This window comes from Homo sapiens, chromosome 20 (genome assembly GCF_000001405.40).
Source record: "Homo sapiens chromosome 20, GRCh38.p14 Primary Assembly".
Lineage (NCBI taxonomy): Eukaryota > Metazoa > Chordata > Mammalia > Primates > Hominidae > Homo > Homo sapiens.
Genome location: NC_000020.11, coordinates 20,034,075 through 20,060,043, shown reverse-complemented (window position 1 = coordinate 20,060,043; position 25,969 = coordinate 20,034,075). Strand labels below are relative to the sequence as shown.

The 25,969-nt window shown below is 39.1% G+C and overlaps 2 protein-coding genes across 8 annotated transcripts in view, besides 3 other annotated features; one reads left to right on the top strand and one right to left on the bottom strand.

Annotated features, from left to right (window-relative positions):
* The window catches only part of CFAP61 (cilia and flagella associated protein 61), a 308,167-nt gene extending 300,655 nt beyond the window's left edge, over positions 1-7,512 (bottom strand). Inside the window, exons 1-2 of one of the 2 annotated variants that reach the window (NM_015585.4) lie at positions 7,453-7,512; positions 3,248-3,426 (exon numbers count right to left, since the gene is read on the bottom strand). In NM_015585.4, the coding sequence (NP_056400.3) occupies positions 3,248-3,390 (143 nt within the window). In that variant the 5' untranslated portion in view covers positions 3,391-3,426; positions 7,453-7,512. Of the gene's footprint in view, positions 1-3,247; positions 3,427-7,452 lie in introns of those variants that run through there. The other variant, NM_001167816.1, reaches the window with a different exon arrangement.
* CRNKL1 (crooked neck pre-mRNA splicing factor 1) lies at positions 3,998-25,676 on the top strand. 6 transcript variants are annotated; one of them, NM_001278627.2, is made up of 15 exons: positions 3,998-4,096; positions 7,416-7,569; positions 9,422-9,574; positions 10,613-10,704; positions 11,543-11,701; positions 12,113-12,279; positions 14,558-14,736; positions 16,382-16,552; positions 17,528-17,719; positions 18,419-18,478; positions 19,278-19,358; positions 20,196-20,435; positions 21,594-21,695; positions 22,473-22,721; positions 23,682-25,676. In NM_001278627.2, exons 5-15 carry the CDS (start codon positions 11,616-11,618, stop codon positions 23,847-23,849), a joined length of 1,695 nt encoding a protein of 564 aa, NP_001265556.1. In that variant the 5' UTR covers positions 3,998-4,096; positions 7,416-7,569; positions 9,422-9,574; positions 10,613-10,704; positions 11,543-11,615; the 3' UTR covers positions 23,850-25,676. The 6 variants fall into 6 exon arrangements, with proteins under 6 accessions (NP_001265556.1, NP_001265555.1, NP_001265554.1 ...); NM_001278626.2 differs by having other exon boundaries at positions 7,322-7,565; NM_001278625.2 differs by having other exon boundaries at positions 7,322-7,752.
* Positions 7,104-7,153: a silencer, noted in NCBI's record as "silent region_12709". NCBI's record gives its function as "represses an Ori minimal core promoter by ATAC-STARR-seq in GM12878 lymphoblastoid cells {active_cell/tissue: GM12878}" and the evidence as "EXISTENCE:reporter gene assay evidence [ECO:0000049][PMID:35858748]".
* Positions 7,244-7,543: an enhancer, noted in NCBI's record as "active region_17605". NCBI's record gives its function as "activates an Ori minimal core promoter by ATAC-STARR-seq in GM12878 lymphoblastoid cells {active_cell/tissue: GM12878}" and the evidence as "EXISTENCE:reporter gene assay evidence [ECO:0000049][PMID:35858748]".
* Positions 7,554-7,723: an enhancer, noted in NCBI's record as "active region_17604". NCBI's record gives its function as "activates an Ori minimal core promoter by ATAC-STARR-seq in GM12878 lymphoblastoid cells {active_cell/tissue: GM12878}" and the evidence as "EXISTENCE:reporter gene assay evidence [ECO:0000049][PMID:35858748]".
* Positions 25,677-25,969: the final 293 nt, after the last annotated feature.

Below are 25,969 nucleotides of genomic sequence, written 5' to 3'. Positions count from 1 at the left end.
AGTGTTTTGCTGTTTCATTATGATGGGTACAGTTGGGATTTCTCTGTGTATTTATCCCCTTTGGGATCCACTGAGTTTTCCAGATGTAAGAAGTAGTGCTTTCCAACAATTCTGAAAAACTCTCAGCCATTCTCTCTTCAAATATTACCCTTTGGCTTCCTATTATCTTCTTCTAAAAGTCTAACTAGACTAGGTCTCATGCTTCATTCATATTTTTTCTCTTTGTGTTGAGCTCTGGGTAATTTACTGGTATTGATCCTCCAGCTCATTACTTCTGTCTTCAACTGTGTCTATGAAGGATGTTTAATTCATCTACAGAGCTTTTAATTTCAATTACATTTTAAGTTCTAGATGGTCTATTTCACTTTTGTTTAAACATGATTATTCATTTTTATAATTTTTTATTTTTTATTTTATTTTATTTTTTAGATGGAGTCTCACTGTGTCACCCAGGCTGGAGCGCAGTGGTGCGATCTCGGCTCACTGCAACCTCCACCTCCCAGGTTCAAGCGATTCTCCTGCCTCAGCCTCCTGAGTAGCTGGGACTACATGTGTGTGCCACCACTCCTGGCTAATTTTTTGTATTTTTGGTAGAGATGGGGTTTTGCCATATAGGCCAGGTTGGTCTCAAACTCCTGACCTCGGATGATCTGCCCACCTCAGCATCCCAGATTTTTTTAGTCTTTAATCCTTTTTTTTTTTTTTTTTTTTTTTTTTGAGACAGAGTCTCTCTGTCACCAGGCTGGAGTGTGCAGTAGTGCAATCTTGGCTCATTGCAACCTCCGCCTCCTGGGTTCAAGCGATTCTCCTGCCTCAGCCTCCCGAGTAGTGGGACTACAGAGTGCGCGCTACCACATTCAGTCAATTTTTGTATTTTTAGTAGAGATGGGGTTTCACCTGTTGGCCAGGATGGTCTTAATCTCTTGACCTCGTGATCCTCCTGCCTCGGCCTCCCAAAGTGCTGGGATTACAGGCATGAGCCACTGTGTCCGGCCTTCTTTAATCATCTTTTTAAACCTACCTTTTTTATTTTAGACATAGTAAACATAGTTATTTTATATTCATTGTTTAATTTTATATCTGAAGTCTTTGGGAGTTGATTATCCTATATAATTTCTCTTGTTGATTCTAATGATACATGTTTCCTTGTGTGTTTACGATTTTTGACTGTGAGCTCATATACCTTGCAACTTTATCTGGGGTTATTATTTGGAGTCTGAGCTGAAGCTGCATCCCTTCACACTTGATTTGCATTTATGTCAGCCAGTTTCCTGGACACACTACTGGCCTGTGACTATTTTTAATTAAATTCTTTACTTCAACATTTTTTGGACCACATAAATAATTAACATGGATCTCAAATCAGTGTGTGCTTATGAATTCTCAGAAGAGACTTTATCCCCCTCTATTCCATGCTAAGGCTGAGTGAGCCCTCACTGTCCATTTTTATTTAGTGGGTTTATATCTTGTTCATCCCTACAATGAACATCCCAATTTTATACAAAGGGGTCACATGCTTTCCTCCTTAGGTGGAGGGAGTAGTTATCTTCCATTCTTTGCAAAGCTGTCAAAACAGAAATATGAAGTTGCTATTAATAGAATGTGGCAAAAATCCTCAAGGATGAAGCTAGCATTGGTTCCTGTTTATCTAATGAAGTTTCTGATTTCAATTTGATAATGTTCCCTACACAGTCCTTAGCTTTTGTGTGTATCAGTATTTTAGTTGTTTCCATCCAATGGACATCTTTAAGGTACTGAGTCCACCATAATGCCAAAAAATAAAATCATTTCATTGGTATATCTATTTTTTAGGCATTTTATAACTATTGCCCTACTGCCCTCTAGTAAAATTGTGCCAATTTATATTACATTCATCAGGGGGGTAATTAGAAACTACAAACTTTAATGTCTTAGGCTGGCCTTAGCTTAAACATTTCAATTGTATTTGATATGAAGCTTTATGAAATCCAAAATACTAGGATATTTAATATTTTCAATAAAAATAATGCGGAACAGGGTCGAGCACAGTAGCTTATGCCTGTAATCCAAAGACTTTGGGAGGCCAAGGCAGGCAGATCACTTGAGGCCAGGAGTTCGAGACCAGCCTGGCCAACATGATGAAACCTAGTCTCTACTAAAAAACAAACAAACAAACAAAAACAGCTAGGCATGGTGGCATGCACCTGTAGTCCCAGCTACTCTGGAGGCTGAGGCAGGAGAATCTCTTGAACCCAGGAGGCGGAGATTGCAGTGAGCCGAGATCGCACCACTGCACCCCAGATCTGGGCAATAGAGCAAACCTCTGTCTCAAAAATAAATAAATTAATTAAATAATGAAGAACAGATTCAAGGATATTTATATTTTGGCACCCACAGAAGGTCTATAAACAAACAAAACAGAGAGAAAAAAGATCTTTTAAGAAACAAATCTATGCATACTTTAAAGTTCAGAAGAACACTTTAACAGCAGCGGCTGTGAACAAATCCAGGTTTCCAACGTACTGTTTGACCCTGCGCCAGCCTCCCATTCTCATCTGTGAGATGGACATGATAGTGGCCACCTCAGAGAAGTATCAGAACAATAACATAATGTTGGCATAGCACAGAGCCTGACATAAACTAATTTCTCAAAATCTGGCAGCTAATATTATTAACTTGTTTTAAGTGACTCCACTAGTGAGTGAGGCAGCTGAGATTTGAACCAAGTTTGTTTGAATCCAAAGCCCATGAGAAACCTTTTTGATTTGCATATTATTATAGGAAATAGGAATTTGTTGTTCCCAGAGATTTCTTGCTACAATTTTTTCACTGTGCAGTAAGCTACCCATTTGCTCACAATAAGCCCCATAAAGACAAAAAGGTAGGATCCTTTTCTGGCATGTCATAAAATTGAGGAACCTTCTTTTTTTTTTTTTTTTTTTTTAATTGAGACAGGGGTCCGCTCTGTCATCCAGGCTGGAGTGCAGTGGCGTGTCTTGGCTCACTGCAGCCTCTGCCTCTTGTGTTCAAGCGATTCTCATGCCTCAGCCTCCCGAGCAGCTGGGATTACAGGCATGCGCCACCACGCCCAGCTGATTATTGTATTTTTAGTAGAGATGAGGTTTTGCCATGTCGGCCAGGCTGGTCTTGAACTCCTGGCCTCAGGTGATCTGCCTGCCTTGGCCTCTCAAAGTGCTGAGATTACAGGTGTGAGCTACTGCACCCAACCAAAATTGATGAACATTCTTGAACTTAGTTATCTACTTACAGAAGATAGATGATATTTAGCTTCCCAAACAGCTTGCAGGTAAATTTTCTAATAAGGCTTTTGATACAATAAACATCCTGTGATTCTGTTCTTCGGCAATGAACAACTTCTACCTTTCCTCTTGGAGAAGTGAGTACTGACATTTTTTATCCTGTCCCCAAAAGAGAGAAAAAAGTCCACTATTAATCTGATATGATAAGCCAGTTTGGTTATAATACACACAAAACTGAACACTAATTCAATTTCCATGTGGTCAGAGTGAACATGGTGTGAGAATACTGGTGTGACACGTTTTCCCCTGGGTGTAGTCTGTGACAACTGTCACTGCAAACCAGCTGACGTTCCTCCATAGGAGAATGAAGTTTCTGAGAACTGGCCTGTTTAGAAGTTTCTGCAACTATATTCTTTGTTTCCAACAAAGCTGCTTTAAAAAATTCTAACAATAGAATTGGAAAAACATTGAAAGGAATTATTTACGGATTCAGGGTCCTCTTATATTTAATCGGCCACGATGGCATGTGGTGAAGAGTTACTGGGGAAATACTGACAGCTGCTGCCTATGTTCTTAATAGAGTTCTCCAAACTGGAGCCCTGAAGGTCAGCAGTCTTGAGACATATTTTGAGACCAAAAAAGTTCTGTGGTTAAGTGTAGGAAATGCTCGCAATAGGCTTCCTGAAGGGCCACCAGGCCCATTAACATCTTTGAGAGGTTCCATAATAAAGCAACTTGTTTTCTTTGTATAACCCAGCCTTTCCGACACTCTTTGGGAAGAGAATCTCTAATGACGGCAACAGTGGAGAACCTAACGTTCCAGAAGGACACTTTGGGAAATGCTGTTGACAAAAACAGTAGGTCACAAAATGATTTCAATTTCTCTCTCATTGTCTCAATTTCTGTAAGTCTCTCTTCTCTCTTTCCCTCCCTTCTTTCCTTCATAGGGAAAGCCATTTTATTATATACTAGCCAGTGAGCTCAAAACAGGGAAAACAATGAAGGAGAAATTAATAATGTCTAGACTCCTATCGAAGCTAACCATAAATATTGTCATTCCTTGTTCTGGTTTTAAATTGAAAGCAAAATTGGAATGAGACATCTTGTTTGTGAAACATATCATAAACTAATGCTACAAGTATATAAAAATTCTGAATAAAATAAGGAAGTATAATTAATTAGATAACTGACTTTGGTAAAAAGAAAACAAGAAAAGAAGAAAGAAAGCGAGCGAGGGAAATTCTCCAACCAGGTGGCAATGATGTGAGCCGATCTGACACAGGTTTTGGGGATAGAATGGACCTCACTCCAAACAGAGAATTAAAAATTAAACCATGCATCTACCTGGGACTTTGGATGGGCCCCTCGGTAAGTGAGGGGGCTAGAAAAATTAAACTCACCAGCCCAAGAAAGTGACAAGCTTTCTCTACACAAAGCTCTAGGTAGAAAATAAAGCAAAAATACTGCTGAGAAGTCCAAATTCTAGACTAAAGTGGGTATGGCATTCTAGTCCACACAATCTGTGTATTATGGGAGTCACCAAGAACTTTAGATGATAGACTCTGAAACAGACTACAAACTAAGTATGTTTATAATAAAGAAATATAGAAAGAGAAACAAAAGTCATGAGAAGAGAACAGGTCATTATTTAAAAAAGAACAGAAACTTAAAAAATGAAATACGTGGTTATTAAAATTTAAACTAAGAGGATGGGTTAAAAACAGAAGAATAAAGAAAATAAACTGGAAGATACTTATGAACAAATTATCTAGAAAGAAGCACATAGAAACAGAAAATACAGAATTCAGTAAAGACACATGTAAGACAGAATGAAAAACATCTGTCTTATGGGAATTCCAAAAGGAATAAATGAAACATTTGAAAATAATGGCTAATTACTTTTAGCATGGATGAAAGACATGAACCTTCAGTTCAGAGCAAAAAATACAAATAAACTCCAAATATATAGTAAAACTACAAAACCCTAAAGACAAACAGAAAACTTTAAAGGAACCTGACAAAAGACAGACTGTCTATAAAAAATAATTAGACTGACAGAATATTTCTCATGAGCAACATTAGAAGCCAGTAGCACGGGGGTTAGCAAACTTCTGTAAAAGGCCAGAGAATAAATACATTAAGCTTTATGAGCCACATGTTGTCTACACAACTAGTCAACTCTGCCATTGTAGCACAGTAACAACCAGAGACAATATCGGCACAAATGAGCATGAATGTATTCCCACAAAATTTTACTTACATACACTGAAAGTTGACTTATGTATAATTTTCATGTGCCATGTAATTTTTAAAAAATGTTTAAAATGTAAACTACATATAAAGTTTAATGTAAAATGTGTGTGTGTATATGTGTATGTATGTGTGTGTGTATATATATATATATATATCCCTAGCTCATTCACAGTCCATACAAAATAGTCAATGGGCTGAATTTAGTCTACGGCCCATAGTTTTCTAACTACTAGAATAGTGTTTTAAAAATATAAAAGGAAAAAATAACCATTAACCTAGACTGATAAACCTAAACAATCACTTTAAAATGAAGATAAAATAAAGACAATTTCATACAAAGACTGAAAGAATTCAAAGAATCTTGTAGAAAGAACTAGGAGATGGTATATTCTGAGAAGAATAAAATCAGAAAGAAGTGGAATACAAGATTAAATGCTGGGAAATAAGAAGGTAAACATGAAGGTATATCTACAAAAGCATTGATGGCAAAAAGTAAGAAGGATAATACATTTTTCCTAAAAAAAAAAAAAAAAAAAAACAAACAAAAAAAACACACACAGAGATGAACTGAATTGCCAGACAACAGAAATGTAAGAGAGAAGGATGGTGATCAGAAGCAAAGTATTCTAGCATGTTTGTACTTTTGAGCAAAGGCAACAGATGATTAAACCAATGATTCATTTGGTAAATCAATTGTTTACAGTAACACATTTAAGGAAAATCACTTCAAAGAAACATCTTTTTAATATTTATTTATTTTGTTAGGTGGCTTTATGAAAGTGATATAAAATCTTCTCTATTTAAATTTTGAAAAGTGAGATAAAATATCTAAATAATATGGTTAATAAAGAGTTATGGCAAATACATTGATGTTGGTTATAACTGACTGCAGTTCTAGAAATCTGCATAAATCTTTTGTTGAAAGTAATATCTGCATTGGTAGACGTGATATTACTACATACATAAATATATATTTTCCCCAAACACCAAAAGAGCTTTGCAACTGTGGAAATTATCCTAACAAATGAGCTGCCAAGTCATGTCATTATACATTTGTCCAACCTCATAGAATGTACACCAAGAGTGAACCCTAATATAAACTATGAACTTTGGGTGATAATGATGTGTCAATGTAGGTTCAAGATTGTAACAAATGTACTGCTCTGGTGGAGGATATTTTTAAGAGTTGGAGGCTGTTAGAGGAGGGAAGAGGTACAATAATTGATAGCAGGAAGCTGTGGAGGGAGGAAATCTCTGTGTCTTCCACTTAATTTTGTTGTGAACCTAAAACTTCTCTAAAAATGTCTATTAAAAAAAATTCTCTTAACCTTTGCTTTTCAGTTTTTGAGGGCAGGTTAAGTATTATAACAGCTAACATCTACTGAGCATTTGTCTTTAATCCTAGTGAAACAGATGTTATTAGCCTTGTTTTATAGTTGAGGACATTGAGGCTAAGAAAATTTAACTAGAGTAATTAAGGCACACACAGAATTTAAACATGTTTCTTATCACAAGACTGAGTTGTTTTCCAGTTACTCTATTTATATTTTTTCCTAATATCTGGCTTCAAAGTACCTTCTGTTATTTTTAATTCCAAGCCTTAGAGTTAATTATTTGGGCACCTTAGAATTATTTGGGCACAACTGTCCCGAAACCAGAAACGAGGGGGCGTGGACCCAGAGACTACTAGAATGCAATGCTCGAGGCATTGCAGCCTAAAAGGGCGGCAGCTCGCCCCGTCGCATGCTGGGAATGGTAGTTTCCTCGCTCTCCCTTCTTCCCCCGCCCTCGAGCATCCAGATTGGAGCTCCGTTCTTACTCCCTTGCAGGGCGCCACGGCTCGACAGAGCCACTCGTCCTCGCCTGGTCATCCCAGTTCCGGAGGCTGACCTGGGGATGCGCCCTGGACGCCCTGCACCGCAGTCCTTGCGTCGCTGCTAGTCAGCACGGCGTTACCCACCTCATCCGCAGCTCCAGGACGCCGCACTCCACGCGCTGCCGCAAGGAGGACGCGCAGCCTGGTCACCATGGAAACGGTGCCGCCTCCGTCACGGCTCAAGCGAGAGGTCAAAGGTCAGTCCTGCAAGTTCCGCTTCCGGTTCCGAGATCCTGTTTGTTTTCTGAAAGCTTTGTGGTTTCGGTGAGCTCTCAGAGCCGATTTCTAGCGTCCGTGCCGGGGACAGGTGTCCAGAGGTCGACTGCTGCAGACATGGCGGCCTCCACCGCGGCCGGGAAGCAGCGGATTCCCAAAGTGGCCAAGGTAGGCGATCGCGAGGGGCCTTGTAGGAGGTGGCCTAGGAAAGGGGCATCCCTCAGCCCTGAGGGTGCCCGGGTTGGGAGAGAGTGTTCCCGCCGGGGAGAAGGCTCACCCTGAGAGATGGAGAGGAAGGGCAGCTGGTGGTGGGGCGCGGGCTCTTGTCATCGCGGAGCACGACCCGCGTTGGCGTGGCCTTCGTTCTGGGGTGGTTTTGCTGGGGAGTGGAGTGGGGTGGTTCGGTGAAGATTTACTGAGCCAGGCACTGCACTGGGCGCTGGGAAGCTACGCTCGTACGCTGGCCACAAGCAGTACTCAAAACACGAGTTTCTGTATAAAGACGACCTTGCTAGATGTTACCGAGAGGCAAAGTAGAATATGCCATGGGCGTGAATAAGGGGGTCGTATGAAGGGGTCCTGAAAGTAAATTTTGCTGAGGAAATGACCTTTAAGCTGAGACTTGAAGGCTGAATAGGAGTTAGCCCAGCTGACAGCGGAGGGCGAGAGTAGACGGTAGGAGTAGTATAGTATCATAAGTTAATTAAACAGTAGACTTACTATCTGGTATTTCCTTTGATAGCTAATACTTACCAAGTGCTTAATATGTGGCAGACTTTGAAGCCTTTACAGATACCCTCCCTCCAGTCTTTCTTGAGCCCGGATGACTCTCTTGAACTGGACCTTTACATAACTATTTGTCTGACTCGCAGGAGTAATGCATATAGAGCAAGTAACACTGTGTCTGGCACTTAGTGCTTATTAAATATGAGCTATCACCATTATCATCATTACTCCACATGTGGCATTAAGTAACATTTTTTATAATTCAGCTACATAAACTTTTATTGGGCATCACTGGTCCAATGGAAATATAATGCACACCACATATGAAATTTTAAATTTTCTCATATCTACATTAAAAAGTAAAAACAAAGCAAAAAAGTGAAATTAATTTTGATAATATATATTTTATTTGAGCTAATGTATCCAAAATATTATCATTTCAACATGTAATCGGTATAAAAAATGTAATGAGGTAGTTTATTCTTTTTTATACTTCATCTTCAAAACCAATGTGTATTTTACACTTACAGTCCACCTCAATTTGTACTCACCACATGTGACTCATAGCTACTGTGTTGGACAGCACAGCTCTAAGCTACGTTAGACTGTAAGCTTCTAAGACCTCAAGAAGCTTACAGTCTAATGATGAGAACTTACTGAAATTGCCTTTGACTTGAAGTGCCATGTAAAACCAAACCCAGTTATACACCGGGGCATTAAATAAGTTGAAGAATTCTGTAAATGCAGGTTGTAATGCTGTTAATAAGATGTGCTACACATTTTGATAAAACAAAACCTCTGGTCAGAATTTTACCTAGACGGCCTCAAAGTTTATTATTATACTCATCTAAAAGGGAAAACTTGCTATTATTTTTGCCACCTTTTTCTCTTGAGACTTTTACCTATGGCTTTGCAGTAGATACTATGAATAAGAGAGAAAACGGTATTTTTTTTTTCTTTTCAGTCTCATGGAGGAATGGGAACATGTCATACAAAAAGGGCATCTTGTGATAATACTAACAAAGTTCATATCCTAAAAAATGTATGTTTGTTTCTTAAGCCTTGTGTGAAGAGCAACTACTAAAAATAGAAATGTCTTCTTTCTTAAAAGGTGAAAAACAAAGCCCCGGCTGAGGTACAGATAACTGCTGAACAACTCTTAAGAGAGGCTAAAGAAAGAGAACTTGAGCTTCTTCCACCTCCACCTCAACAGAAGATCACAGATGAAGAAGAATTAAATGATTATAAACTAAGGAAAAGGAAGGTCAGTCAGTGTGGTATCTTTCAGTCCACTAATTGTTAAGACTGTATCGGTCAGTTTGAAAAGCTCCTCATTGGTTGGATTCTGTAGGGCAAGATGAGGTTAAGTGTTTCCAGACGCATGAATAATGTACTTCTGGTTACCAGATAACAGCATTTTTCTGAACTATATAAAATATGCCATGAGTTGTCTGGTTAAAGTGTAAAGAAATTGAATCTGCATAATTTTTGATGCTGAATCAAAGTGAGCGGAAGTTTAGCAGATGGAACAACTGACAACAAGAAGGAGGGTATGCTTAGTAAGGCTGCACTGTGTACTTCTGTCTATACCACCTTCTGTGTTAAGAATTGAGATCTGGCTGGGCACAGTGGCTCGCGCCTGTAATCCCAACACTTTGGGAGGCCGAGGCGGGCAGATCACCTGAGGTCAGGAGTTTGAGACCAGCCTAGCCAACATGGTGAAACCCCATCTCTACTAAAATACAAAAATTAGCCAGGCGTGGTGGCAGGTGCCTGTAATCCCAGCTATTCGGGAGGCTGAGACATGAGAATCACAGCAACTCGGGAGGCAGAGGCTGCAGTGAGCCGAGATCGTGCCACTGCACTCCAGCCTGGGCGACAGAGCAAGACTTTGTCTCAAAAAAAAAAAAAGAAAGAAAGAAAGAAAGGAAAAGGAATTGAGGTCTGCAAAAGGACCATGAGAAGACTTTGGGATCTGATTTGACCTCTTCACTCTAGAATGTGGGACTGTTTTAAAGCACTAATGCTGTTATATATGAAATTCTGAGAATTACCAGAGGACTTAAAGGTAATAGTCAAAAACATTTTTTATTAGGGACAAGCATAGACCATTTTAAAGTATCAGTTAGTTGACTGTAACCTTCTGTAGTGGGTTTCTTATTCCTCAAGGATTCCAGGATGTAATTTCTCTTAAATATGAACAAAATGAATAACCATTTTAGTACAAGACTTAAAATAGACCAAGGGTGCTGTCATTTTTAGTCATTTGTCTTTTGACTTGACCCTTTTTGCCTTCTTCCAGACTTTTGAAGATAATATAAGAAAAAACAGGACTGTGATTAGTAACTGGATAAAATACGCACAATGGGAAGAAAGCCTAAAGGAGATTCAAAGGTAAAATTACTGAGAGTGTAGTTTTGTATATAATGATTCATAGATTAACAGATACCAAAAAGAAAAGAAGAAAAAGTTAAAGCACAGGTAAAAGATTGTGCCTCGGGTAGAAATTTTCAACTTTGGTTCCATGGAACCCTAGGGTTCCCTTGAGGGCCTCAGGAGTACTGGGGTAGAATAGTCCTGGGGAGGGTGGCAGAAGAGGCTTTAGAGATAGATCTTGTCAGTTGTAGCTAAAGAAGCACAATTTCATTTGCTTTGTATATATTGAGATTTTTACAAATTTCAGCTAAACAATGGCCAAAAAAAATAAAACCAATGGCCAAAAAAAATAAAAATTGCAATCTGGCCCTTCCTGTGGTCTAGCTTTCTGCATTCTCCCCGCATACCTCCTTCCCCCACTGTGCCTGTGTATGTGCCACTCCCTGAATATATCATGTCTCCTTATCGTGAGGCTTGACTGTTCTCCTTGCCTGGAATGAGCACCCCCTCCTCACCAAACTTAGTTTCCTGGTAAATCGGAACGTTCCTCAAGTTCTCATTTCTACAATTACCTACTACTTAGCCTTTTCCACCAAACATTTTCATTTCTTCCTCTCTGTTTCCCGTGCAGATCTTGACTATAACATAAATCACATTGCATTATAATTGCATGCATGTCTTTTTATAAGACTTTGTAAGGTACTTGAGAGCATTATATCTTTTCATTTTTTTATGCCCAGAACTTGGCTCATGGTAGACACCTAATAAAACATCAGTGCATTCCAGATAGTTTGAAATAACTGCTACATGTGTTGAATGCTCTATTTTTGATGCCCTGCAAATCTTGCTTCTTAAGGGCTCGATCCATATACGAGCGTGCTTTAGATGTAGACTACCGAAATATTACACTCTGGCTGAAATACGCAGAAATGGAAATGAAGAATCGCCAAGTCAACCATGCTCGAAATATCTGGGACCGGGCCATAACAACGCTGCCTCGAGTTAATCAGTTCTGGTAAGTTTCTGATCTAACAAAACAGCCTTTTATAGACTAGCAAAGTTCCACATCTTCTGTATTTATTTTATTTACATGATGATAGTTTAATTTGATATCCTACTTTTTCTTCAGACATAAATGCTGTTATGTCCCATAGTCTATTAAGTCATAATCGTAATGTTCTATAGCTATGTAATCAAAACTAAAATTTTGATTGCAATCTTTTATTCATAAGCTTCTTGTTGAACTAGGCAACTTTTAAGAAAAAAAAATCTTTTTTTCCAATGGTTCATCCTTTTTCAGATTTACATACAAATGACAAAACATGTTTGATTTAACCTTTAAGAAAGGTAAAATCTTCAATCTTCTTCCCATTCAACAATGGAAGAACTAAACCACAGCAGATATTTTCGGGTGATTTTGTTACAGGTACAAGTACACGTACATGGAGGAAATGTTGGGAAACGTTGCCGGTGCCCGGCAGGTGTTTGAGCGCTGGATGGAGTGGCAGCCTGAGGAGCAAGCCTGGCACTCCTACATCAACTTTGAGCTGAGATACAAAGAGGTGGATCGGGCCCGCACCATTTATGAGCGATATATCCTTTGGACGAGATCTGTATGGTGCCATGATTGTCCTGGATGCTGCTGCTGCTCCTGTAGAGATGTCTCATGATCAGGACACACAGTCATTAATGTCAGGCTCAAAGTCAAGAATGCCAGTTTATCAGCTTCCCTATGTTTTGTAGGGAAAGAGATTGGTCAGAATGAAAATTTGTATTCTGGGTAACTAGTCTTTTCTAGTGAGAGTTTGGGTTTATTTTATTGTAATGCTAAAAGCTAATGTTTCCTTGTGGAAAATGATATTCCTGGGGGATTGTTTCCAGGAACTCAAGGGGATACCAAAATCGGTGATGCTTAAGTCCCTCATATAAAATGATGTAGTATTTGCATGTAACCTATGCATAGCCTCCCATATAATTCAAATAATCTCTAGATTACTTATACCTAATGCAATGTAAATGTTATATAAATAATTGTTATTCTGTATATTTTAAGGAATAATAAGCAAAAAAACGACATGTTCAATACAGAAGCACTTTTTTCTCACGAATACTTTATCTCAGGTTGGTTGAATCCACAGATATGGAACCCATGGCTGGAGGACTAACTGTACTAAGGTCCTGGCTGCCATTGCCAGTCCTGTTTTTCTAAGGTTTGTGTTGGTCATTACTACCTTACTGGAGTTCATCCAAGGTTTACTGTTTACTAGCTGTGTGGCTCCAGAGAGTCATTTAACTCCTTTGAGAGTTGGTGTCCTCTTCTTAAAAACAAGAATAAAAACACCTTTGTTGGGCTGTTGCGAAGATTAAATGATACACATGAAAGCACTTTTAGAAACTGAAGTACAGTCATTCCTCACTATTTGCAGATTCCATGTTTGCAAAATCACGTATTTGCTAAAATTTATTTGTAACCCCCAAAATCAGTAATTGTGGCACTTTCACAGTCATTTGTGGACATGCACAGAGCATGAAGTCCAACAAGGTGAGGCTTGCCTTCTGGTCTTAACCTCATATAACCATGCCTAGAGCTTGGAGACAGGAAGGGCCAGTGCCATGTAGTGCAAGGAGCTGTGGCTCTGGGGCCAGTCGGGGAGTTTGAATCCCTGTCAGTGGGGCAGCCTCAGTCCAGTCACTTAACATTTCTGAACCACTTTTCTTACAAAATAATGAAGATAGAATCTGCCAGGATGAGTTCTTTTTAGGATTTAAGATGATGATGAATGTGAGATTGTATATATACACGTTTCTCCTAGGAGCAGTGGTTCAGTACTCAATAATTAAGTGTTCGCATTGACTAAATAGAACATAACTACCAGAAATAATGAGAGTCAACTTTATTATGCAGTATTAAGATCTTTTTATTTTTTTACTCTTCTCTGTTGAGGTGACAATGTTAAGATCTTAATTATGTCTACTAATTTTAATATTATTAGTTTGACGAAAGCTTTTATAGCACTTGCTACGTGCCAGGCAGTATTCTAAGTACTTTACAGATATTGTTGTTTAATCCTCATAACATCCTTGCAGTGTAGGAACTTCTCTGTCCTACAGATGAGGGAGCTGAGGCATGAGAGATTAAGTAGCTTGACTGGGTTCTCACAGGTGCTGATGGAAATAGAATGTGAACCTAGTAGAGCAGCTTCAGAACTGATGCTCTTCTTTGCCATATTGGAATATATTACTACTTTGGAAATTAATGATTTATTCAAGGAAGATAGATTAAAATGACAATTCAAAACTTTCTGCTTTGACTCTAGTTAACAGTTTTCTTTTTATAGCATGTTTTTTTCTTAATTATTAGTTCAAGTATTCATATTTTAATATAATTGGTGCTATTTAATGACCAGACCATTATTGACCGCTTACGGTGCCATGTTCTTTTGGCTAGAAACTGTGCTAAGGGCTTTACATACATTTTCTCATTTAAAGCTGGCAGTAATCCAGTGAGGCTGGCATTATTTTTCCCTGTTTACAAATGAAACAGCTGAGACTTAGACGTCTAAGTTCAGTGACTTATCCAAGATCACATGGTTGGTAACCTGGGTTGAGATTTTTCTTTGCTTCCAACTCGAGTTTATACCCACCACTAAAATCTTAACTAAGCACTGGAGGAAAATAGAGATGAACAGGCGTGGCCCTGCTCTCACAGAAGCCACTGTTTAATTCTACACTTTTGTATGTGTTTTGTTCCCCTAGAGTTGTAGTTTGAATTTTTGGAGTTTCCAGGCTTTGGTATGGTTTTGGTGTTTACTTACTTACTATTTTTTTAAGCCATGCTGTTTTGCCTGGGATTTCCTTAATTCCCTTGCACTTGTCCTCGTGCACCCTGATGTTAAGAACTGGATCAAGTATGCCCGCTTTGAAGAAAAACATGCTTATTTTGCCCATGCACGGAAAGTGTATGAGAGAGCTGTGGAATTCTTTGGAGATGAACATATGGATGAGCACCTTTATGTTGCCTTTGCCAAGTTTGAAGAAAATCAGAAAGAGGTAAGTATACCTAACTTCATTATACTGTAAAACAGCTTAGCAAAGATTACATTTTGTGCATGGTGAGTTCATTTCCATTTTTTCTTACTGACATATCCCTGGAAAGATGTTTTCAAAATACAAAAACACAGCTTCTCACAGAGAACAGCATATATATGTGACTAAGCTACAGATGGGAGCTGATTATAGATTGTATTATAACTGTCTTAATTTTATTGTGCTTTGTTTGAAAATTAAGCCTTTTAGTCTGAATGCCCGTAAACTGAGAACTAGTCTTTTGGCATCCTAAGTAAAGGACTTAACCGATAATAAATATGGGAAACAAAAAGCTTAAAGCCCTAGAACAGAAAACATTTAGAATGGAAACAGAGATTGCCCTACAAATAAGAGAGTTCTTTTTTTCCCTTGTACCTATGAAAATAGCTCAAATATTGAGAAGATGAGGCAGAAGGATCACTTGAGGCCAGGAGTTTGAGACCAGCCTGGGCAACATAGTGAGACCCTGTCTCTAAAAAAAAAAATTGAGTGGGCATAGTGGTGCACACCTACAGTCCCAGCTACTTGGGAAGCTGAGGCAGGAGTATCACTTGAGCCTAGGAGTTTGAGACTACAATGAGCTATGTTCGTGCCATTGCACTCTAGCCTGGGTGACAGAGCAGGACCCCATTTCTTAAAAAAAAAGGGAGTTCAAATAATACAGAATTGAGATCCATCCAAATACAGGTTTGAGCATTCCCAGTCTGAAAATCCAAAACTCAAAATGTGAAACTTGTTGAGTGCTGACATGACACTCGAAGGAAATGTTCATTGGAACATTTCAGACTTCGGGTTTTTGGATTAGGGATGCTGAACCAGTAAGTATAATGCAAATATTCCCAAACTGGGGAAACATCCCAAATCCAAAACACTTCTGATACCAAATGCTTCAGACAAGAGATACTCAACCTATATAAGGTCTTGCACGGACCATGCTAGGGAGTTCAGATTCTGTTCGGGCCAGTGGGAAGCATTGAAAGGTTTTAAGCGGGACAGTGATTGGATATGATTTATATTTTAAGGAGAGCCTCTGGCTAATTCATGGAGAATGTATGAGGGTAGATGGCAAAAGTGGAACCAGGGGAGACCAGTGGGGAGACTTTTGAAGTGGGCCAGGTGAACAGTGGAGTTTGATGGCTGGGGGCTGGGGAGAAGCAAATGGCTGTGTGGAAGAGATTGAAATGGTAGGGCATGTTGCAAGAGTGAATATGGAGTATGAGGAAAAAAGAGGAATTGAGGATCACCTGAAGGTTTTGGCTTGAGCAAGTGACTGTAGGTTAGGCCTTGCCTACTAAAATTGGGAAGATGGGGAGAGTCCCAGTTTGAGTGGGGAGGAAACAGAAGCTCAGTTTTGGACCTGTTTGAGATGTGCAGTAGACATCCAGTTGGCAGTGTTAGGTAGACAGTATTAAATATGGAGCTCAAAGCAGAGTACCGGTCCATCCTGACAGAGATAACCTTCAACAAGAGGGAGAAAAGCATCTTACTCTGGATATTATGAGGCCTCAAAATCTAACTTATAAGTAATATTTTGTTATATTTACTCTCCTAGTTGTGACTGGCATGAGAATATTGTGTTATAGAAGGTAATCATCCTGTCTGCATTTAGTTTGAAAGGGTACGAGTGATTTACAAGTATGCCCTGGACAGAATTTCAAAACAAGATGCCCAAGAACTCTTTAAAAATTATACCATCTTTGAGAAGAAGTTTGGTGATAGGCGGGGTATTGAAGATATCATTGTGAGCAAACGGAGATTCCAGTACGAAGAAGAAGTGAAGGTGAGCACTGGTGTGGATGGTCAACTCTGCAGATAACCCAAGATGTGCTCATCAATACTAGCAACACTAAAATGAATAATAGCAAGTAGCACTACTAGTGATTACTCTCGTGATGATGTGCCCGTGATCCAATTGGCAGCTATTTCAGACAAGTAGGAATAAACAAGGCTGATAGAAAAGGCAAGCAAACAACACTTGGATTTGCTCTGCCACTTACATGTTGTAAGTCGTTTTGTTGATTGTTGACTGTATGTAGAACTGGAGCAAAAGAAATGTGGAATCCATTCGAGCTCATTGTTGGAAGAAGGTGGAAGAGTCAGAGATTGGTCCAAAAACCTGTTTTGCACATCACCTTTGAGCTTAACTGCCTGAACAAAAGATGTATGCTAGACAGGGTTCCATCGGCATCTCTTTTTCTGTAATGTACTATTTTGATTTCAATTCAAAGAGAGTGTCATTTTCCTTCAGTATTCTGTTGTGTATTTAAAAATACTCTTCCTTAGTCAAGTTAATTAAGATACCTCCAAGCAAAGGACTAAGTCTGTTATTAAATGTGGTGGTAGGTTAGCAAGATATGTTAAAGATGAATTGCTATTAATTGGAAAGGCAAGTTTAACAATTGTGAGCATGATACGATTCTGTTGTTACAGACATAATGATACATAGTCACATATTTAAGCAAATGCATTGGCAAGAATAGGCATCTAATTATTGACTGTCGTGAGAGTGATGGCTATAGATGAAGGAGTCCTTGCTGTGGGACACCTGGCCAGTAATCTATCCTCTGTATTCCTGTTTCTTTTCTATTTATGCAGTCTCAGGGATGGTGTTTTTAAAATGAAAGAACATGTAACATTTAGAAGAAAAGGTGCTAAAATATAGAAAGTCAGCCTGATGCCTTTTTTCAGCTTGCTTAACCTGGCAAGTGCAGCTCTTGGTTTTGTTTTTTATTTATTAAACTGGTTGTCTTTCTAGGCGAATCCACACAATTATGATGCATGGTTTGATTACTTGCGCTTGGTAGAAAGTGACGCAGAAGCTGAAGCCGTGAGAGAAGTCTATGAAAGGGCCATTGCCAATGTCCCACCCATTCAGGAGAAGAGGCACTGGAAGCGCTACATTTATCTTTGGATCAACTATGCACTCTATGAAGAATTGGAGGCAAAGGTGAAAAAACAGAATTATGTGTCAGCTGATAATGGTTTCCTGTCTTCTGTATTCACAGCTCACCTATTGTGGATGTTTGTAATTCTTGAAAGAAGGAAATTTAGTTTTAAATTTTTATAGGCTTCTGTTCATCCATACAGTTATATATTCGCTCTGCAACATTTTAAACCCTCTGTGCTTGTTGTGGCCACACGTGAGGGGCTTTTTTAACTTTGGTTTGATTTTTACTTGAGGCACAACAAGATATCACTTGGAGCTTGAAAGAGAACAGTGAACCAGCCCTTAATTTAGTGAAATATAGTTTCCTGGATTTGCTCATTAATAGGAGTAATTCTGGCTAGATTATGCATTTTTGCTTTTAGCAAAAATCAAGTGGCATTTTCAGAAATCATTTGTATTAACCTTCTGGGTTTGATCTGAGACTATGAAACATCTTTGTTTCTTTCTGCCATCAGGCAAAACGGCTTTCTACAAAGAAGGGCTTAGAAGTTTGGTGGCTATCTTGTTGGTGATTCTTAAACTGAAGTTTCATGGCCGTTCATACTTTAGATCATAAATCAGGGTTTGCAAGTAACAACTTGTGAAACATGCTGTTTTGGGGGTGTACATTTTTACCAATATCAGTAAAATTAGTAACTAGTAAAATGAGTGTTAGCAGCAGACTTCAATATTTTGTGAAAATTTCTTATCCTAATACAGGATCCTGAGAGGACAAGACAGGTGTATCAAGCCTCTTTGGAACTAATTCCTCACAAAAAGGTATGTTTGCTCTAAAGTGTTCCATTTCAAACAGGTCAGAATCCTCTTCTGTTACTTGTGAAGTAATTCAGTGAAATAATATTGATTGATAAAATGCTTCCCTGTCCCACCATGGACAACATAAATAAGACTGAGATATGCTCCTTGCCTCTGAAAACAGCTCACAGACTAGGTTGGAGGACAACCTGCATTGACAAACAAATAATATAAATTCAGAGAAGGCTAGGTAATGTGAATAGTCTGAGTGGAAGGAGAAAGACATCCATGCAGAGAGCACACAACGTGTGCGGGGGACACACAGGCGGGTTTGTTGGTAACAGTGAGTGTGTGCATGCACAGATGAATGTGCCCCTTGTGTAGATGGTTGAGATGTTACCTCCGCCTTGTTTCCCAGCACGAGAAACAAAACGTGTTTCCTTCTGTAGAAGTGTTGACTGAGTTACTTTTCAGAATAGAGGTAGGACATTCTGCCCATATACAAGCATGCCTACAAAACAAAGTCTGTTCTGAGCAGAGGCTACCGTGCCATACAGTACAGTACAGTATCTGGATCATGGTTCTCAGGAGAGGTTACCATGCCATGCAGTACAATATAGTATCTGGATCATGGTATGTGGGTTTCTAACTTTTGTGAAATGAATGTGGTCTTTGCTTGTAAATAAGCAGAGTACATTCCTCTTACTCTGAAGTTTTAGAGAAATCGAATTACCAATGGCTTTGGTTAATTTAAATTAATTTTAATTCAATTTAATTTGGATGAGGCTTTTAAGCTAGATATTTTTGTGCTTTTGTTTTCTAGTTCACATTTGCCAAAATGTGGATACTGTATGCACAGTTTGAAATACGACAGAAGAATCTGTCATTAGCCAGAAGAGCATTGGTAAGTAAAGAAAGGATCAAGATGTCTCATCAAGTTCTATGAGAAAGAAATTAAAATCTTGGTGCTTGGAAGTTGTACAGTTCCTACTTTAAAGAGTGACAGAAGTATTATACCTTTATAGCCTGGGACATGTTAGAAAACATGCGTCCTCTGTAAAAACACTGACTAATAATGCGTAAATTATTCTTATTACCTGGGGCAAATTAACATTCTGTTTCAATATTGGAAACTTCTATAGCTACCAGTTACTAAATCTTTCCACAGACTGGAATTAGTAATCTGATCCTGTGCAAACTTTTTGGTGTGTTAAATGCACTTTTAATTGTTCCACTTTTTTTTTCTTTTTTTTTTTTTTGTTTGTTTGGTTTTTTTTTGAGACAGGGTCTCGCTCTGTTCCCCAAGCTGGAATGCAGTAGCGCGATCTTGGCTCACTGCAACCTCTGCCTCCTGGGCGGAAATGATCCTCCCATGTTGGCCTCTCAGAATGCTGGGATTACAGGCATGAGCCACCATGCCTTGTCCTTTTTATTTATAGGAGGTTTTATGCATTTGACATCCCTATTCCCTAGGAGATCCTGAGAAACTTTCAAATCTTATTTTATTTAGTTGCCCAAACAATTCTGGAACACTGCCTCTTGCTGAGTGAATTAGAGGAGTTTCCTTCAGCCTTTTGTCAAGAACCAGTAAACATTGTGATACCACAGAGGGAAAGAATGGTAGGCCATGTTGACTTTGCAAGATTCTTCCTCAGCAGAGAACAGCCTCTAGGGCAGTGCAATAACTGCACAGATTAAATCCACTACAGTATCACAGTGGTCTGGTTATTTTATTTTCCAGGGAACTTCCATAGGCAAATGTCCAAAGAACAAATTATTTAAAGTTTACATAGAATTGGAGCTACAGCTTCGAGAATTTGACAGATGCCGGAAGCTTTATGAAAAGTTCCTGGAATTTGGACCTGAAAATTGTACCTCATGGATTAAATTCGCTGAATTAGAGACAATCCTTGGTGATATTGACAGAGCACGGGCAATCTATGAATTAGCCATCAGTCAGCCACGTTTAGACATGCCAGAGGTGAGCATCTCAAGTCAAATATAATTTTGTTTGAGATACGTGTTTAGTCTTACTTTAGATGACCATCTAAATGTGGGTGTATTTTAGAGTATAACGATGATCTAACTAACTTAGTCTCTTCTACTCAGATTAGGCTTGTACGTGGAAAGGTGGCTGTGGGGGACAGGGGAAGTAGCCCTCTCATTAGATACCAGAGCAGTAGACATCCAGGATGATGCCCAGGATGAACTGGGATATCATGGGGGTGGGTGACGCCCCTTCTGCAGCAGGAAAGCCTAAAGGGGCTGGGGAAGAGGCCAGGCAAGGAAGAAGCCAGCAGGCTGGCCCACCCGGAGAACGAGGGGGATGGAGGTAGGAACTGCACATCCCTGTATTCTCTAAACCAGGATGTCCTTGCAACTTCTGTTGTCACTGTCCTGAAAGTCCTCGCCTGCCTTCAGTAGTTAAGCTTGACCCACAAGGTAGCACCAAACCACAGCTAGGAAAGATTTGAATCTCACATGAGTCGTAGAACTCACCCAGCCGTTTTGTTAATCTCATGCACTAACATGACCCTGCATTTAATGGTTTGGCCCCCTGATTGCATTAATTAAGGCAGGGCTTTGGGTATCACTGAGTTCATCAGTTGTCCTCGGCTCCTCCACCAGACTGCCAGCTTTCAGGTGTCCATGCCACGGTTTATTCATCCTTATTCCCTGCCAGGCTGCACCGAGCCAGTGCGCACCTGTTCAGTGAATGCTTGTTGCACTGAACTCTCATAATAACAAGGAATGTACAGTAGAGGTAAGAACATGCATACTGGCTAACCTGGGCCTGTTTTCTCTCTGGACGCTCAATTGCGTGTGGCTAGAATATGGAGTACCTGGGAGATGCTTGGCAAGTTTCTCAGCTCTTGATAAGTCAAGCATTTGAAAAACTTCCAAAGAGAATCTCTAAGACTGAATCCAAGGCCCTTTTTCTGTAATCTGGAATTCTAGCCAAGTTTTGGCCAGCTTATAGATACCAATGTTATTTATCTTATCCACATGTGTTCTTTAGTTGTTCAGTAAAAATCCTATGTTCCTAGATGTAGGTTAGAGTGATACTTCAGCTGTGCTTTGGATGGGGGCATGCTGCTTTGTAAATGTCAAGACTGACCCATTTACTTTTCTTCCTTAGGTGCTTTGGAAATCATATATTGATTTTGAAATTGAGCAGGAAGAAACAGAAAGAACACGAAACCTTTACCGGCGGTTGCTTCAACGGACGCAGCATGTCAAGGTATCCTTGCTTTGTAGATGATCTTTCATTTTGCTTGAATCAGCAGTCCAGAAGAAAATGATATATTTCTGTATTTTAAGTGTTTGGGTTTTTGTTTTTTTTTTTTTTTTAATGACTTCCTTGCTTTTCAAGAGAAACGTGAGTCTCAGAGGACTTTGGAATGTTTGGAATGTTAAGTTTATACCAGGTCATTGTTTATGCTGCATGTGAGTAGCTTGGGTATCACAAGATTGAAAAAAAGTTAAACTATTTTTTTTTTTTTTGAGACGGAGTCTTGCTGTGTCTCTAGGCTGGAGTGCAGTGGCGTTATCTCGGCTCACTGCAACCTCCGCCTCCCAGGTTCAAGCAATTCTCCTGCCTCAGCCTCCAGAGTAGCTGGGACTAGAGACGCGCACCATAATGCCCAGGCTAATTTTTCTATTTTTAATAGAGACAGGGTTTCACCTGTTGGCCAGGATGGTCTCGATCTCTTGACCTCGTGATCTGCCCACCTCAGCCTCCCGAAGTGCTGGGATTACAGGCGTGAGCCACTGCACCCAGCCAAGTTAAACTCTTTTCAAGAGTTTAAGACTATGTCAGACATTTAATTGTAGAATGTAGAATCAAATATTTTCAGTGTTTATATTGAAGCATATATTCATTGTTTTCATCTGTGAAACATTAGTGATGCACACATTACTTTCCGATGTCATTAACTGGGAATTCGCTTTATTATTACTACATTATTATCTTCTGAGTGATATGGTTAATTTGGTTCAATAATAACTTTTTTTAAAGGTATGGATCAGCTTTGCTCAGTTTGAGTTGTCTTCAGGAAAAGAAGGAAGTTTGACTAAATGCAGACAAATTTATGAAGAAGCTAACAAAACCATGCGAAACTGTGAAGAAAAGGAAGAGAGACTTATGCTGCTGGAATCTTGGCGAAGTTTTGAAGAAGAATTTGGAACAGCTTCAGATAAGGAGAGAGTAGACAAACTCATGCCAGAGAAAGTCAAGAAGAGAAGAAAGGTCCAGACTGATGATGGGGTAAGAACTCTGCCCTGGGACTGTTCATCTCACGTCACATGAGTAGAAACACTTCTGACGTCGAAATGTGGACTTTTAAGTGGCATATGTACAATCTTAGAATGGAAGCAGACCACCTGGAGTAGGAGATGGTTGCAATCTGGCTGTTATGGAAACACGGGGTAGAACATATGGTCCAGTCAGAGGTGGAGAACGGGAAGGGGTTGGCAAAGGTGTTTTGGTGATGGTTGAGTCTGGGAACTTCATGAAGTGTGATATTTTTAGAGCATTTAATAGGAAGTAAGTGTGGAGGAAGATGGAACTGAACTTTCAGATAGGAGCCTATCCAGAGAAGGCTTGTAGGCGGTAAGAAGGAGTTTGGTGGGAGTCAGTGAAGGCTGTTTTGCATAAAATGACGTGACCAGATTGCTAGCCTCTCATCCTGGCAGACTCAAGGGGCTTAGATTGGAGAAAGAAGACCCATCAGGAAGCAGTTTTTATAAGCTGAGCAAGACATGGAAGCTGGAACTAGAACAGGGCCACAGGGCCTGTTAGAACAATATTTGGGAAGTGAAATCAGTGACTGATAGGAGGTGAGGATGGGAAGGTAGGGAGTTGGAATAATAATGCACAGATGTATGGCTTTTGCTACTGGGTGAATATTATGTAAAGATCGTTAAACGTTTTCTTAAGTGTAAGACTGCACAATGTAGTTGGAGACACTGAACATCTTGGTTGGCTATAGAGGAGCTGTGCTTAGATTTTTAGAATGTTTTTCTACCAGTTTAGTTCTCACTGAGCTACAGTTGCTGCTTACTCACTCCCAGTCTTTCAGACCCAGCCCTTGTTCTTTCTGTAGTAGACTTTGATGTTATTTTGTAAAATGGAGGTAATCATCCGGATTTCCAGTAAAAATTCTTCACTCTGATATGTGAGTATATCACCCACGTTTGCTTATCTTTTCATTTTTTATTTCTGTAGTCTGATGCAGGCTGGGAAGAATACTTTGATTACATCTTTCCAGAAGATGCTGCCAACCAACCTAACCTCAAACTCCTGGCCATGGCCAAACTGTGGAAGAAACAGCAGCAGGAAAAGGAGGATGCTGAGCACCATCCAGATGAGGACGTCGATGAGAGTGAATCCTGATCTTTTTTTCATAGACAAATGTTTTGTTATTTTTATAAATTAATTGTTTGGAACTCTTGTGACTCCTGGAAGTTCTTATATATTTCACCAGTAAGAAATTGATTGGTATCTTTGATGGCTACTTTTTAAGTTATTTTTTAAATGCTCTTGGGTTAGCTAGGGGTAGGGATTGCAAGTAAAGGACTTTTTTAACTGCTGGATTTGTTTTTCCAACTGAGTCCAAACTTTTCTAATGTCTGTCCACATCATGCATTAGGAAATGTAATTAAGGTAACATTCTACAGTTACTTTTCATGTCATACCCATAAAGATAGTTTATGCATTCATCTGAAATGTGTAACTTTTTCATGTCTTCAGAGTCACAGACTTGAGTTCATTTCCCAGCTCTGCCACTCATGATTATATAACTTAATTTTCATTTTCCTCATTCACAAAATGGGCCAATAGTTTGACAGCTCATTTTGAAGATTACATTATAAAAGGAATATACCTGGTGGGTGCATAGTAAGTGCTCAGTAAATTGTTTGTTCTAAGCCACTTTTAAAAATGGTTTCATTCCTTGTAGAATTGAATGCGAGTGGATTAATAATTTACCTTACTTTCTTACTAGTGTCCAGTTATATTGTTTTTTAGAACAACACTTGGAAAATAATTTGCAGTGATTATATTTCTGAACAAGGTTCAGAAAACATTGTTTACTAAGAATTTAGTCTAATAATTTCAGTTAGGCGCTCATCAGTTCTCCAGAGTGGTTGAGTTTGTAATACCTTGTTTAAAGAATAATGGCTTGTTCACGTGTGTGCTATGAAAAATGATGTCCCATGTTCACATAAATTTGGGAAATTCTGGACTAAGACTTAAGTCTCGTTAATCAAATCTCTTTATAGTTAGGCTTCTGTACATTATGTATCTCCAGTAGCAATGTTGCCATATTATTTATTTCCCAAACTTAGTGGACAATGGAGTCATTTCTACCTAGAGTACCAGTAAACATCTCCCAGTGTGCTATAGTAGAAAATGTCTACTCCTCACTGCTGACATGTTAAACTTACTCTTGGTTTAGAGCATGTGTAGAAACACCTAAGGTAGCTCTATGCTAAATAATGAAGAGTAGCACAAGAATGAATGTATTTGCTGATACGTTGCTCACATTCTCAAGCAAAAATTCAACTGCATTAACCGATCTGAGAGTTTTCCTTTAACCTGGACTGTGTTTCTCAAGCACATTTTTTCTTTGTTCACTGCCCAAGGACTAGAACTGTATTTTTAAGGTTGTTTTCCCCTAAAAGGACCTTTAGTAAGCAAATTTATTATTAAATGTGCACATCTTATTCACCCAAGGGAATAAAAGCTACTTCGTAATGTTGTTACTAAATTTTATCTTGAAAATAAATAACAGTGTTTGAGGACAGAAGAAACTAGGACTGTTGTTGAGATAAAATCTGTTTTCAGCCTGACTGCTTTAGTCACTGGACGAGCATCAGCTACTGCGGTGTCAGATCACTTCTCGAGTAGAGGTCTGCCTAGTGAGTGAGCAGGAGAACATCATCTTAATAGCCTTTGGCTCACCCAGAGTCAGGGAGAGATGAAAATAATAGGTCAGAATGCAAGTGACTTAATCACAGTCTTCCTAGAATTATCTGTTTATGTTGCATGAATGCATAAGAAAAAAATTCTGTCATGTTCCCAAGGTAGAATTGTAATAAGCATGTGCCAGTGTGAAAGCTGGAAGGAAAAAAGCTATTCTCTAACAGGAGAACATAAAGATTCATTTCTCTCCCACCCTCAACTCCACCAAAGTAAATCCTTTCGATAGTAAAAGTTTAATAATTTCTTGTGGGTTTTTCTTTCGTTAAGTCTTTCACTAACTAACTAACTGGATATTTTCACATATTACAGAGGAAGACACTACACATAAAATACATGGTTGGCCTATGATATAGTTATATGGCCTTTCTTTAGGAATTATGTTCTTTTCCCTCTCCAAAAAAAAAAAAAACCTCAAGTTTTTTTTTTTTTTTTTTGGCTTTTTAGAAGGGCAGGATTTAAGCAAAGCATTGTGAAGAGGAGAAAAGATCTAGGACTAACAAACAAACAGTATAATGGTATGAACGCAGGTG